We start from the raw sequence: 16,188 nt of genomic DNA, 5'->3' as shown, positions 1-16,188 counted from the left end.
TTAGAAGGTGAAGATTTGTACATAAGTATTTACTTCCTCAATGGGTTGGGATTGGAAAATTGTTCTAAATATACTGTAGAAACATTTGTCCTTGCAGAGCTGGAAGAATTCCAGCAATTATAGCCGGATCAGTGGAAAACAATCAAAAGCTTTGTGGGGCGAGAGAAAAAGGATTTAGGTGTAAACAAAATCTTGCCATTTCTACTATTTAGCAGGAACTGTGTGTATGCCTAATTCTCTTTATTTTATGTAGACTTGGGTAAAAATCGTATTTGGAGTTGCCACCTCTGCTGTGCTTGCCTTATTGGTGATGTGCATTGTCTTACGCCCTTCAAGAGGTAAGAACTTTCTCTGATTTGCTCTATCTGCCTAGAATAGCTTGGAAAATGTACTAATGCAAGATCACAAGTGGTTGAACATTTCCTAAGTGCTTATGTTCCAAAGTAAGTCTGTTATTTCTAAGAAGACATATAAGCTCACAGATATGTTGTTGTGCAAGACCAGAAATACTGAGGAATTTAAGGCATGGGTAGGAAGAGATTTACAGTGTTATTTCAGCAATAGAAAAACCTAAGAACTATGCTGCATCACCCCCACAACCCCCAAAAATATATGCTAAATACAAGCTTTGACAGGCCTTTAGAAACAACATTTTTAACTAACATTGCTTTTCATTATTAGGTTTGTCTCGTGGAAAGTAAAAATGAGTAAGAATGGAAAAGTTAAAACAGAATCTATGGACTTTTTTTATTACTAAATAGTCTTTCCAAAAATTTAGGGAGGAAGTTGAGAATACAGATCTCAGGAATAGCTGTATAGAAAAAGCAAAGTTGTTGTTTTAGATGTAGTAGCACTGCACATCAAATTAGAAAACCAAACATTGTTAAGCAAGCATTTTGATCAGTCATAAATTGGATCCTTTTACAAAAAAGGCTTAGATTGACACTGATCTCACTTTGCTAAAAATTGGAAGGTACTATGGGCTGATATCAGAGCTAGTTTAAATATAAAGTAGGACTATGTTGATAGATAATCTAGTGATATTAGGGAAATAGCTTTTTATGAAAATATTTATGAAGAGAAACTCAAGCTTCTGAAATGGAAAAAAAATCCAGTAATAACAGGTCTTATGTCTTTGTGTCTAGGAAAGGGGAAAAATTTGTACTAATAAATACTAAAAGTTTATGATAACAAATGTGGGAAATATCTTGGTTAAAAGTTAACTGATAGTAAATGAAGATCAATAAAATAACTTCAGCTAAAGAATGTATGAGTCCTGAATGACTGGACTGTTGCTATTAAAAAGAACATAGAAAAATGTTTTCGAAAATTAAAAATAATCATGAGATTTTCACAGAATTACAAAATAGAATAGGTTAACCCATAAGATGAAGTCAGCTGATATCTTCAGTGTTAATTTCAGTCTTTGTTTCTGCTCTCTGCCAGCACAAGATTCTTCTTAGGCTGTTGAGAGGTATGTAGTGTGTGTACATATCTTTCATAAATTTTCATGTTAAAATTGTTTTCAGACTCATCTCTGAACTCAGTGGTCTTGGGGCCACATTTCCCTCATACCAGCAATTGTCAGGTAGTGGATTAGGTCATATAGATCCTTTGAATGTTAATTCATTAAAAATTAGCTCCTGATTTTTAAAGAAACTCAACCTTGAAATTGATACTCTGCACCCTCAGAAATAAATGTTCTTGGAACAAAAGTTTGTTAATTTTATAGGGCACTTGCCTCCATGTCCATAGGGAAGGATGAATTTCACTATGGAATTCAAGCTATAATTTCTAATAAGAAATGCATTATATTTACATATTTACAAATGATGTATAGAGATACACATACACAGATATTTGTGTGATCACATATAATCTCAATCCCTACCCTCTTTCCAAGTTTAGTTATGTATAGCTTACATATAAATATACGTCGTAAACTATATATAGTATAAAAGTCCTATGTAATTTATAATACAATTCTATTTTCAACTAACAGGAAAATTCTAAGAATAAAGTGATTTCTTGATAGGGTGAAATAATCAAATTAAACTCAAGTACTCAGTGAAATTTGAGTACTCATTCAGAAATAGAAAAATCATAAATAAGGTGAGAACTGTTGTTTTTTGGTTCATTATATCATTCTCTTTCTCTTCTAAATTTGCTGAATAACTTCTCAGAATGTCAGCTAAACAGCTTGTGAATGGCACTAGTCATTACCCTACTTTCCTGAGCAGGACCCGGGGAAGTCAGTGCCACAGGCAGCCCTGAAGTTAGGCGTGGTGGCCTCCTAATTTTCCTCCTTTCTTCTCACATCTCACTGGTCAATCAATCATCTCCCGTCTGGAGTGCCAGGTCCAGTCCTCACTCTCACATCTGCCCAGTGCCTATGAGAATAGGATCTGAGATGGCAAGGCAGGAAAGGGAAGGAGGAAGGGGTAAAAAGAACAGAGAATTCAAAGCTAAGCGAGCTCCTACTTAGCCTCTTTCTCACATTCATCAGAAATCCCATTACTTCACATTTGCCTTAGGTGCCCTCATATCCTCAGCCCAGAATTTTATGCACCAGTGTATGAACTGTCTTCTTCTGAGAAACTTAAAGCCACACTCAGGAAACATTCATTCATTCATTTACATATTAGTGTATTAGTTCTACTAACTCCCTGCTCATCATCATGCCAGTTGCTGAGGATATGGAGGTGCAGCAGTCTAGAATTCCCTCTGCAAGTTGGGGAGTAAGAATCCAGTGCTTTCTGCACCCAAAGATGCATGGTCAGCACCACAGATACCAGAGAAGGATTTGTGTTATTTCACATCACGTCTAAAGGAAAGAAAAAAGAGAAAGGCTCTTCCATCCCAGGAGAACCAGCTTCAGGATTAAAAGGGTTTAGGAATAATTAAACTGGATTATAAGAACAAATATGAAATGTAGTAGTGAAATGAGAAAATCCATTTAGCTCACTTACAAAATATTAACTATAAGGAAAAACTTTTTTCGAAACTTGTAAAATATTCCCTTTTTAGTTTTGCCAAAGTGTGAAGCACACATGAATTTCTACCCCTTACTCCCAGGTTGTCCTTGCCTTCAGCTTACACCCCTTCAACTGACTCCTTTCCTCTCTCCTACCTCCATTCACTTTTTCTTTTGAGGTTCTTCTTCACAAGCATCACCCCTCTTCGTCTGTGAATATGCAACAAGGCTGAGAGTGGAAACTAAGCTCCTTGACTTCCCCTTATTTTTGTTCACCCCAAAGACAAACATAAAGACCTTCTTGCTTCAAGAGATTTAACAGAGGTTACAAAAGCAAAAAACTAGAAGTGAAAAGTTACAGAGGTTGCAGAATTTTGCAGGTAAATTCTACACAAACTTGATTCATGATTTATATTTTCTGAATACCTGGACCATTCCTCCTTGGCTTATAGAAAGAAATCATAGGAACTATTTGACCTCGTTTCAGATTCTTTTGAGTATAGAGTGCCCCACATGGTGATGAACAAATACTCAACAAATGTTAGTTATTTTTTTTCTAAAATTTCTAACATGTAGTAAATACTTCATAAATGATAGCATTTTGTGTCTGTGTTCTTCCATTGTTGAGAATATGTACTTCTACACTCAACAATAGCAACTATTCCATTCTGTGTGATGTATTTCAATTTCAAAAATGTCTTAATTCCGAGAGTAGAGAGCCTTTATCCCAGAATATCATCCCTGTTCCTATCCCCAACTTTTTTTTTTTAACCAAAAACAACAAATGTTTCAGAAACTTTTGTGTCTGAAGCACTCATACAGAACACTGATGGCTCTAGGGCAAAAGCAAAACAAAAGGAAAGAAGAAAGATATAAGAAGCTGAAGGGTGGAGGAATGGAGAATAAGGCTGAGTGAGAGTAAAAAAGGAAAGGGTGGGTGGCTGTGTTGGCTTATGGCTGTAATCCCAGAACGTCAGGAGGCCAAGACAGGAGGATTTCTTGAGCCCAGGAGTTTGAGACCAGGCTGGGCAACATGGCGAAACCCTTTCTCTATTAAAAAAAAAATACAAAAATTAGCTGGGCATGGTGGCATGCACCTTTCGTCCCAGCTATTTAGGAGGCTGAATATCAGAAAAGTGTTTGGGAAGTTCAGGAAACCAAAAGGAAACTGACAGAGCTATGAGACCAAAATCATTTAAACAAACCAACAAAGAGAATATGTATATACATATGTAATTGTGATTCTACATACATACACATATATATATAATATGTAGTGATTATTTAGCTGAGTCTTGCCTTTTATAATGCATTGAAGAAAATATGTGAAGGCCACAGATAATTTGTATAGCACAGAGATCAATATTTTTTAAGAAGAAATATCATTTGGAAAGTCTGAATTTTAGTCAGAAATCCGTTGTTGTTGTTATTATTAGTATTACTAATTAGTATTCTATTACTACTGTAACTTCAACAATCACCTTTGGTAAAATAAGATATACGTGAGATAAAATCATCTTCAAAGGAGATATAAATATGTTAGTAGTAAAGTTAAAATATTTTCCCAGGACTAACATTCAGTCTATGAAACAGAGTCCCTCAAACATCTTAAGAGTTTTAAGCTTATTTTTTCACTATTCTTATGGAGAAAATATGGGAAAGTCTAAAAGGTTAAGGAAAAGTTTCAGAAAGTTCATGAATATAAAAGAGCTTTTTAGTCAAGATAAAGAAATCAAGTTTGCAGTTTATAGTTCTCTAATTTGCACGTGAATTTTAAAATCACAGATGAATCTTGGCAAACTCCCTTTGAGTTTCGCCAAATTCTAAATAATTTAAAAAGAAAACCAAATCTTTGTATGATTCTCACAATGGAGAGGCGTTTACCTGTCTCAGATTTCCAAAGCAAATTGAGTTACAACTTCAACGAGAACATCCAGTCATAGATATACCTTGAAAACCAGATTCAAAAGTCTGAGCCAGAGGTGTGCAATCAGGACTAAAAGTTTTTAAGAACCACAGACAGTCAAACTGAGCCATAAAATATAGCAATAATTGACAAATGGGATCTAATTAAACTAAAGAGCTTCTGCACAGCAAAAGAAACTAGCATTAGAGTGAACAGGCAACCTACAGAATGAGAGAAAATTTTTCCAATCTCTCCACCTGACAAAGGGCTAATATCCAGAATCTACAAAGAACTTAAACAAATTTACAAGAAAAAAAAAACAATCCCATCAAAAAGTGGGCAAACGACATGAACAGACATTTCTCAAAAAAAGGCATTTATGCAACCAACAAACTTATGAAAAAAAGCTCATCATCACTGGTAATTAGAGAAATGCAAATCAAAACCAAAATGAGATACCATCTCATGCCAGTTAGAATGGTGATCATTAAAAAGTTAGGAAACAACAGATGCTGGAGAGGATGTGGAGAAATAGGAATGCTTTTACACTGTTGGTGGGAGTGTAAATTAGTTCAACCATTGTGGAATCCTTGTGATTCCTCAAGGATCTAGAACCAGAAATACCATTTGACCCAGCCATCCCATTACTGGGTATATCCCCAAAGGATTATAAATCATTCTGCTAAAAAGACACATGCACATGTATGTTTATTGCAGCACTGTTCACAATAGCAAAAACTTGGAACCAACCCAAATGCCCATCAATGATAGACTGGATAAAGAAAATGTGGCACATATACACCATGGAATACTATGCAGCCATGGGACATGCAGGGACGTGGCTGAAGCTGGAAACCATCATTCTCAGCAAACTAACACAGAAACAGAAAACCGAACACTGCATGTTCTCACTTATAAGTGGGAGTTGAACAATGAGAACACATGGATAAAGAGAGGGGAACATCACACACAGGGCCTGTTGGGGGGTCGGGGGACTAGGGGAGGGATAGCATTAGAAGAAATACCTAATGTAGATGACGGGTTGATGGGTGCAGCAAACCACCATGGCACATATAATATCTATGTAACAAACCTGCACGTCCTGCAAATGTATCCTAGAACTTAAAGTATAATTTAAAAAATTGCAATAATTAATACAGTAGCATGTAATAAAACGATCTCATAAGACAGTCAAATACTAACCAGTCTCTTTTTATTTCTCATTGTATAGAGAACCAAGAACTTATTTTTCATTTCCAGTATCCTTTTTAATTGACTAATATGCAGTAAGAACAGAATAACTTACAATACTTATTAATATTTATTCCCATTAATAATAAAAACAGTATTATTTAGTATCAAAATTAAAATTTTAAATACAGGTTATGATTTATACTTGGTGGAAAAACAGATGTTAGGACCTTTTAAGGAACAGGATATAACAATTGTATGTTAAAAAAGAAAACAGATAACAGGCCAGGCGTGGTGGTAATTGCAGCACTTTGGGAGGCTGAGATGATGGATCACTTGAGGCCAGGAGTTCAAGACCAGCCTAGCCAACATGGAGAAACTCCCTCCCTACAAAAACACAAAAATTAGCAGTGGTGGCTGACACCTGTAACCTCTGCTACTCAGGAGGCTGAGGCAGAATTGCCTGAATCTGGGAGACAGAGGTTGCAGTGAGCCGAGATTGTGCCATTGCACTCCAGCCTGGGCAACAGAGCAAGACTCTGTCTCCCTGCCCCCCCACCAAAAACAAAACAAAATCAGATAACAAATGAAATAGGCACATTGAAATAGGCACACAGAAAGATACTAACTACCAATACTTAAGAAGAAACAGAAAACATGAGTGGTGCTATAACACCAAAAAAGATTGAATTAGTCATTTTAAAACTTCCCACAAAAAAAAAAAAACAAAAACATAAAAACTTCCTAAGCTCAGATGGCTTCACTGACAAATTCTACCAAACACTTAAAGAAGAATTATCACAAATTCTTCACAAACGTTTTCAAAAAATGAAAGAAAACACTTCCCAACTCATTCTATAAGGTATTACCCGCATTACTATAATGCCAAAACCAAAGATGTCACAAGAAGAGAAAATTATAAATCGGTATCTCTTATGAATATGGATGCAAAAATTTCCCACAAAATACCAGCATGCCAAATCCAGCAATATATAAAAAGGATTACACACCATGACAAATTGGGATTTAGCCCAAGAATACAAGGTTGGTTTATCATTTGAAAATCAATTAATAAACTTTATTAATAGAAAAAAGGACAAAAACCTCATAGTCATAATAGACACAGAAAAAGGATTTGACAAAATGCAGCACCCTTTCATGATAAAAACACTTAACGGATTAGGAGTAGAAGGAATTCCCCAACCTTATCAAAGACACCTACAAAAAAAAACCATAGTTAACATCACACTTAATGAAAGCTAATGTCACACTGTGTCCGGAATTGGTGGGTTCTTGGTCTTGCTGGCTTCAGGAGTGAAGCTGCAGACCTTCACAGTGAGTGTTACAGCTCATAAAGGCAGTATGGACCCAATGAGTGAGCACTAGCAAGATTTATTGCAAAGAGCGAAAGAACAAGACTTCCACAGTGTGGAAGGAGACCCCAGCAGAGTGCCACTGCTGGCTCAGGCAGCCTGCTTTATTCTCTTATCTGGCCCCACCCACATCCTGCTGATTGGTCCATTTTACAGAGAACTGATTGGTCTGTTTTACAGAGAGCTGATTGGTCTGTTTTGATAGGGTGCTGATTGGTGCGTTTACAATCCCTGAGCCAGACACAAAAGTTCTCCACCTATTGCCTAGATACAGAGTGTCAATGGGTGTATTTACAAACCCTGAGCTAGACACAGGGTGCTGATTGGTGTGTTCACAAACCTTGAGCTAGACACAGAGTGCTGATTGGTGCACTCACAATCCCTTAGCTAGACACAAAGGTTCTCCAAGTCCCCACTAACCTCAGGAGCCCAGCTGGCCTCACCCAGTGGATCTCGCACCGGAGCCGCAGGTGGAGCTGCCCGCCAGTCCCGCGCCATGCGCTGGCACTCCTCAGCCCTTGGGCCATCCATGGGACCGGGCACTGTGGAGCAGGGGGAAGTGCTTGTTGGGGAGGCTCAGGCCGTGCAGGAGCCCATGGCGGAGGGGGAGGGGCAGGAGGTGACAGGGGGCGGGCGGTGCGGAGGGGGTGACGGGGGACTGGGGGAGTGGGGGGAGTGGGAGAGACTCAGGCATGGTTGGCTGCAGGTCCCGAGCCCTGCCCCGCAGGGAGGCAGCTAAAGCCTGGCGAGAAACTGAGGGCAGCCTCGGTGGGCCAGCACTGCTAGGGGACCCGGTTCGCCCTCCGCAGCTGCTGGCCTGGGTGCTAAGTCCCTCACTGCCCGGGCCGCTGGGAGTGTGGGGCCCACCAAGCCCACGCCCACCCAGAACTCTAGCTGGCCGGCAAGCGTGGGGTGCAGCCCGGGTTCCCCTCCCTGCCTCTCCCTCCACACCTCCCCGCAAGCCAAGGGAGCCGGCTCCAGCCTCGGCCAGCCCAGAGAAAGGCTCCTACGGTGCAGCGGCGGGCTGAAGGGCTCCTGAAGTGCGGCCAGAATGGGTGCCGAGGCCGAGGAGGCACCCAGAGCGAGTGAGGGCTGAGAGGGCTGCCAGCATGCTGTCACCTCTCAACACTGTTTTCCTGCTAAGATCAATAAGAGGACTTGATGTCCTCTCTCATCGCTTCTGTTCAACATTTTATCAGTGGTTCTAGCCAAGGCAATTAGGCAAGAAAAAAATATATAAAGTATCCAGATTTGAAAGGAAGAAGTAAAACTCTTTCTACTGACAGATAACACAATCTTGTTTGTAGAAATCCTAAGGAATTCACTAAAAAACTATTAGAACTAACAATACAGTTCAGTAGGGTTGCAGGATACGAGATCCATGTATAAAGATCAATAGTATTTCTATACACTCTCAATGAGCAATCCAAAAAGATCTAAATAAGTGGAAAGACATCCCATGTTTATGGATCATAAAACAATATTTTTAAGATGGCAATACTGCCTAAATTTATCAACAGATTAAATGTAATCTCTATCCAAATCCTGGATAGCTTTCTTTTTTTGCAGAAAGTGACTAGCTGATCCTAAAATTCATACAAAAATGCAAGGGACCCAAAATAGCTAAAACAATATTGAAAAAGAATAATAAACTTAGAGGAATCACACTTCCTTATTTTAAAACTTACTACAAAGCTCCGTAGTCAAGACAGTGTGTTACTGGCATAAGGATAGATATATAGATCAATGGAATAGAATTGAGTGTCCAGAAATAAAGTCTTTTACTTAGTTAATTGATTTTTGATGAGGATGCCAAGACAATTCAACGGGAAAAGTCTTTTCAACAAATGATGGTGAAACAATTGGATATCTATGTGCAAAAAAAGATGTTGGACCCAATTCCTCACACCACACACAAAAATTAACTCAAAATGGATCAAAGACTTAAATGTAAGAGCTAAAAACTATAAAACTCTTAAAACATACAGATACATTTTTATGTTTTTGAGTTAGGCAAATTTTCTAAGATATGACCAAAAATGCAAGAAACAAAAGAAAACATACATAAATTGGACTTCATCAAAATTTAACATTTTAGGGTGGCCAAGAATACCATTTAAAGAGTGAAAAGACTACCTAGAAAATGAGAAAAAATATTTGCAAATATATATTCGATAAAGGCCATGCATCTAGAATATACAAAGAATTCTGGCAGCTCAATAATAAAAAGATAAATAACTCCATTAAAAAATGGACAAAGGACAGACATTTTGCTAAGGAAGATATACAAATGACTAATAAGCACATGAATGATGCTCAATGCTATCAGTCACTGCAAAATGCAAAACAAAACCACAACAAAATACCAGGAATGAAATTGCAGAGGAGCAATTAGGCATCCGTTAAAGCCTAAAGATTGTGAAATGGCTTGTCCCTGGGGGTGCAGTAGAAATAGAGACAAGCAGTAGACAGGGTTGGCAGGCCTGGGTGTTGGTTAAGGAAGAGGAAGGTCAAGGATCACACCAAAATGTTTGTATTGAGAAACTACATGAATGGTAGGTAGTGCCATTTACTTGGAGAAATTTGGAAGAGGAGCACAGAATTTTTTTTCTTAGCATTAAACATATTGATTTTGAAGTGCTTGTGAGATATGTAAGTGGGGATTTTAAAGAGGAAGTTTAATGTACGTGTCTGGAGTTCAAAAGACAATCCAGTGAAAGTCAGGTGTGGTAGTGGGGTGAGGGGGTGGGTCAGCCCAGGGATATGTAGTAGAAACCTTGGGAGAACGAAATGACCTAGGAAAGTTGCTCTTCCTCCAGCCCCATGTAGAAGCAGTAACAGCCATGCCAAAATGTCAAGTAGAGATTAGAGGAAAATGAGCTGGCAAAGGAGACTGATGTCTTCAAAAATAAACAAGGCTTGCTTTCATCTTCAGAGTCACCAGAGGGTCATTTGCCATTCATGTTCTTACACATTAGGTTGATTATATCTTATGATCTTTGAAAGCCTTAGTTATCCAGAAAAATAAATGAACCCTAATTAAAATAATATAACATAACAATAAAATAACACACAAATGGGCTATTTTTAAAAGCCCGGCAAATCCTTTGAATAACTCATGTTATTCAGTATTGTTCATAGAGAAAACCATGGAAAATTGCTGTTAGAGCTGAGACATTCTTCAAGTAGGCAGTAATAATAGTAGCAGTAAGTAGTTTTATAATAGCTAGCAACCTATTTGCTTTGAAAAAGCTCAAATTGCCTCACTTTCTCTTAACCTAGGTTTTGAGGTGTAATTATTCTACCCCTTTGTGTGTTGCTTGGTTCTTGCCTATTTTTGTGTTTGTTGTATGTTGTTGTTTTATTATGTGTACACTTATACTTTAATTATAGTATAGTGGCAAAGTATCTAAAACCAGATGCAGCTGAATTTAAACCCCAGCTTTTCTATGTATTAGGCAAGTTAGCTCACCTTGCTAATTTTCATTTCCTAATCTGTAAAATGGTGTCCACAAAAGTATTTACCTCAGATGGCTGCTGTGAGGATTTAACAGGACTATACATGTAGAGTACTTGGTATGTACAAGAACTTATAAATTATAACACTTTCTATTACTCATCTAAAGCCACCTCATGTACTTTTTTTTTCAGAGTTGTCAGTCTTGTTCCAATTTGATCATATTAGCTTGTAAATAGTATATTTCCCATCCTAATACTTCCTGTCCTTGCCCCTGTGGTGCTCACTCCGGAAACAAACAAAACCCGGTGTGATAATTGGAGATGATACCTCCCCACAGGTAGCACCTCTGCAGAGCCAGCAGGAAGATGGATGTGTTTTCCCTGAGAGCCCTAGACCCTTTCCTTGGTATGACCTCATATGCATCAATTACAAATCAAGTGCAAAAGTGAGAACAAAAGGACCTGCCAGCCATTTGTATGCCACTTAATTTTCTCATTTGGTTTATGCTGAAGGTTAGAACTAACATCCAATGTCTCTGCTCTAACACCCATTCCTAATTTTTCAGTACTAGACAATCAAATGGCAGAAACAGACACAGAAGCCTAATTGAAGCACAACGTTTTAAGAAAGAATTAAGAGAATAGTAAATCATTACTTGCTTGTGAATCATTTCTGTGAATTGTAATTTCTTGGATTCATAATTGAAATAATTTTCAGCTTTGCTTTAATAAGCTGAAAATGCAAATAATTAAAGCATAGTTAATGAGAGTGTTTAAGCAATGTATGAGTAACTATACTAAAGATGGGCCAAAACGAAGTTAAGGGCACTGGCAAAAATTAAGAGCTAATCAAGTAAGTGTTAACATATACAGAGGAGAGATATGCTTTCAGAATTCATGTTTACTTCTGTTCAACCATTAGAATTTAAAAATTATAGATGTCAAAGCTAATCTTCCAAAATCATCAAGTAATTACATTTAATATTAAAACATTATTTGGAAGGGGACATGAAAATTCATTTGTTGATCCAATAATTATTAATGGAATATTTTCTGGGTGACTAGAACATTTAGTGTATTTGATGCTGTGGAGATATATTTTATACTGATTTACACACAGACACACACATACACACATTCCAAACACTAGAAAATAATGACCCCAGTGCTTTTTCCATAATCTTACTTAAGTCTAGTCTGGGGTAGAATCAGTCCCCTTGCCTTTTGTCCACTTTTCCAGGTCTGGGAAAGGGAATATACTTAAAGAAGAGTGCATTTGAAGGCAATGAGCAAGGTCATTGAACAGGGGGACAAACATTAAAGGAGGCCATTTACATTCCTTGGAAGCCATGGTCAACACTCAGTTATGTGGAATCTCTTCTCCATGACATATGGATTGCTCTGCAGGCCAGCCTCACCCACCTACCGTGAGTTTGTAGTCAAGGAATGATTCCTATAGGCACAGGAGTGCATTGAGCAAAATAGATTCAGTGAAATCATTAAATTGAGATTCTGAACCTTTGCAGAAGAATCATCAAGGAGACTGGGTAAAAACTAAAACTACCAGGACCCCACCCCCCAGAGATTTGGATTCAGTAAGTTTGAGATAAGTACTAGGAATCTGTTTTTTATATAAGCACACTCCAAGGGGCTCCAAGGACCAAATTTTTATAAATATTTAAATGAAGGCAAAAGAGTCTACATATGAAATTTACAACATGTAATAGAGGGTAGAAAGTAAGGGAAGATATATTCTCGGGGGAATTATTCAAAACAAGCGAACACAAAATCTGTCAAGTTGGTTTTTTTTTTAATTCAGCAAATATTTATTGAGCTCCCATGCTATGTCAAGGACTGTCCTAGCAGCTGAACGTATAATAGTGAGAAAAATCAATCACTGCTTCTACTTTTATGGGTGGAGACCTATGTCTTATACAATTCTTTGCCACATAAATATAGAGATGTGAAAAAATTCATGTTCAATAAATTTAGATAAATGTTGAGAAAACAAAAACCCATATGTACAAAGAATCAAAGCTTGGATTGAAAATTCTAAGTAATCTTTATGTTTTATTCTTATTCTAACATGTGACTTAATGCACCATCTCAAAGGAGACACATTACTTCACTGTGTTTATGAACACGTGGTCATGTTTAGCAGGAAGAGAAGAATGCTTAATTTGAATTTCTCTGAGTATATTGGGGATGAACTTAATGTACCCAGCCTGACATCAACATAATTACACTTTCTAAGCCCTGGATACATGACATATGATACGGTTTCAAAGCTAACGTGAGGTTAGGAGTAATCATCCCAGCCCAATCTGTGCCTGAAATCCATTCCCACATACATGTAGCTGGCTTATCTGGATATGTTATTCATACATCCATTCATCACTTCTTGGGTGGTGGTGAGGATTATTTTCATTATGGCAATTAGTAGTACAATTAGTACATGCTTAAAATTGCTTTACAGATTTTTTGAGTCATATGCTACGTTCTCTATATCGATTGTTGGCATTTATAGCTACTATGCACTCATATAAAATTAATTGCTAACTAGGAAGTAATATGAAATATAGTATCAAGTCCAACCTTCCTGGATAAACTAAATTAGAGGTTTAAAGGAATAAATAATTAATTCTTAGAATCTTTTTGAGAACTCTGATAAGATCAAAATGCTTTTTAATGATACGAAAAGGAAAATGAGTAGGTATTTAAAAAGTAATTTGAAACTGTTGTTTTTTATGTTTTATTTATTCATTGTACAATATTAGTACAAATTGCACTTATGATTTTAATTGTAACAGTTCAGTTATGGAGCTAGGCAATAGACAAAATGTTCAAGTATAACTGATGAACTTCATTAAACTAGAATAAAAGTAAAGCTCAATTGTATATACTAATAGCCTTGTCTGGAACTGTGTTTCTCAAACTGTGGTTTTAGTAGATATTCAGAAGCAAAAATTCCCAGTGGACAAATCTGCTTGGGAAACATTGATCTAAAACATTTATTTGAAAAATACTGATGAGTTACGATAATGCTAAAAGGTAACATGTATTGACTGCTACCATGTGCCACACATAGAGCTAGATGTTTTAGTTGAATTATCTCACTTGATTTAGACTTCTATGAAAATGAAGATTAATTATAGCTATAAATGTCTTAATTAAGCATAACACAAGTAAGGAAAATTATATGCAAAGATGCTTAAATAGGAAAAACTATGTCACCAGCCATAACTGAAGCATTATTTATACTTTTTAAAAAATAACTAAGGTTATATTCATTTATTGAATTAATATCAAAAACATTCTTTAAAAAAATTGTTATCTTGGTATTTACAGTAAATGGACTTTATACATTTTTAAATTTTCCATCTAGATATTCAGGATTGTGTAGGCACAAACTAAATGTGTCTCAAGTGGAAAATAAGTTCCACTATGAATAGTGTTATAATTTTCCCTTTATTACATTAGAATCAGATTGCAACTTGCTCTTAGGAAAGTTAAATAAAGTTGAATTAAATACAATACTTGGCAATTATTTTAATGCTATTGTAGTAAATGGTCTTTTATTCACTGAATGAGAATTACAAAATCAATGGTATGAATTCTACATAATACCATTTCATTAAACAGAAGATATTTCATTACAAATAACTGTATAGTGTACACAACCTTGTTTAGGATGCACAGATAACACAGAAAGATAATTATTTAAAAAATAGAATAACAATTCTATTAAGTATTCAGTGTCTAGTTGCAAAAGGGCTCACCAGCCACTATTCTTACAGCCATGGAATAAGTTGCTGCAAATTAAGGAAAGAAATAAACTCATGGTCCTAATCAAAAGTGTGGAGCATACATGCATCAATGTAAATCAGTTAAAACAACAGAAGATGTTATTATTCCACTTTATTATTTTGCTCTTACTACATACATAGCAGAACTTAATGTAACTATAAGATTAATAGAGAAGGTTGAGTTTCAGATTTCAAAATCTAGCATGGTATAGCTGGAAGAGATTGCCAACACCTTCTAGTCCAGTACCTCATAATATGAGTGAGCAAGCCTAGGCACCAGAGATCTACTTACCAAAAACCACACAGGGAATTCAGAAAAGGCACACATCTCATCCAGCCAGCCACCCAACCAGCCATCCAGCCATCCAGCCAGCCTTCATTTCATGCATTCATTTGTTCAACAACTATTTATTAGATGCCTGTATGTGCTAGACACTTGGGATGTGCTATGAGAAAAACAAGACATGATTCCTGGCCTTATGGTAACTGTTTTGATTATACAGAGGGAGGTGGGAAAACAGTAATCAAATAATCACTCAAATATACACACGATTACAAACCAAGAGGAGTGTTGTAAAAGCAAGGAACATGCTCTACGGAAATGTATAAAAGGAAACCTGATCTAAACCAGGGGGTCAGAAAGGGCTTCTCAGAGGAAGTATATAGCTTTTGGATTGAGCATTAAAGGAGAGAGACTAGAAAAGGCTGTAGACACCCTACAGAAAGAGTATTTGAGGAAAAGAAAGACTGGCTTGTTAGTGGCTAGAAAGTAATGAGAGAGGAGCAAGAAGAGCTGGCAGGGTAGACTGCCCCACACCAGCCGGTGTCTGTAGTCCAACCAGATCATCATCTGTGGTCTTTACTGGAAGAGTCATGGAGGGCTACGAGTTTTATAGCAGGATAAAGTTAAACAGCTCCCATCTTTGACAGTTTTGTTCTCACCTGGGCAAATACCAGATTCATAAATGGCATTCAAGGTATAGGATCTTCCTATAAGTTTTAGTGGCCTGTGGAAGGGGTAAGGTGGGAGAGATGGAGAATGGCAATATTGATAAAAAAGGGCATTGGGCTTTGGTTGCCTTATTATCTGTCTGGTGTATCTGACTGCTTCAGGGCTCTGTAATGAATGTTTGTTCTGAGAATAAGATCATGTTTGAAAAACACAATGGTTTTGAAGTATTCAAATATAGATTGAATTTGTTTGTGGTTTGTGAGCTGCATTAGATTAGTTTTTCTACAGAAAACCCTCTACTCTTGGAATTTCTAAGATATTTTGCATAGATCAAGGGGTTTTCTTTTCTTTTGGTCTACTTTCTTTATATAAAAATCCATAGTATGAGAAAATTACCTACATTCATAATGTCTTTCTTGAGATTTCTGAAGGTAAGGGTTCTGGCCAATCTCATTTGACCAACTGGGATGCTAAAATACATCATTGATAAATCAGTTGAAATCTGAACCAAACCTATATGAGGAAAT

General features: G+C 37.0%; 1 protein-coding gene across 7 annotated transcripts in view, besides 1 other annotated feature; it reads left to right on the top strand.

The window, feature by feature from the left end:
- The window catches only part of FAP (fibroblast activation protein alpha), a 72,762-nt gene that overhangs the window by 200 nt on the left and 56,374 nt on the right, over positions 1 to 16,188 (top strand). For 6 of the 7 annotated variants that reach the window (XR_001738668.3, XR_922891.3, NM_001291807.3 and 3 more), the window contains exon 2: positions 254 to 338. Coding sequence is in view for 5 of the 7 variants with exons in the window: in NM_001291807.3 (NP_001278736.1) it covers positions 254 to 338 (85 nt within the window). In the remaining 2 variants the exon portion in view is untranslated. Of the gene's footprint in view, positions 1 to 253; positions 339 to 11,951; positions 12,331 to 16,188 lie in introns of those variants that run through there. The other variant, XM_011510796.4, reaches the window with a different exon arrangement.
- Positions 8,128 to 8,297: an enhancer, noted in NCBI's record as "experimental_55061 CRE fragment used in MPRA reporter constructs". NCBI's record gives its function as "activates a minimal promoter by MPRAs in K562 erythroleukemia cells, with activity observed for both the introgressed and non-introgressed 2:163091544 variant alleles {active_cell/tissue: K562}" and the evidence as "EXISTENCE:reporter gene assay evidence [ECO:0000049][PMID:34662402]".

This window comes from Homo sapiens, chromosome 2, assembly GCF_000001405.40.
Source record: "Homo sapiens chromosome 2, GRCh38.p14 Primary Assembly".
Taxonomy (NCBI): Eukaryota; Metazoa; Chordata; class Mammalia; order Primates; family Hominidae; genus Homo; species Homo sapiens.
The sequence above is the reverse complement of the archived record's forward strand: the minus strand, read 5'-3'. Positions and strand labels throughout refer to the sequence as shown.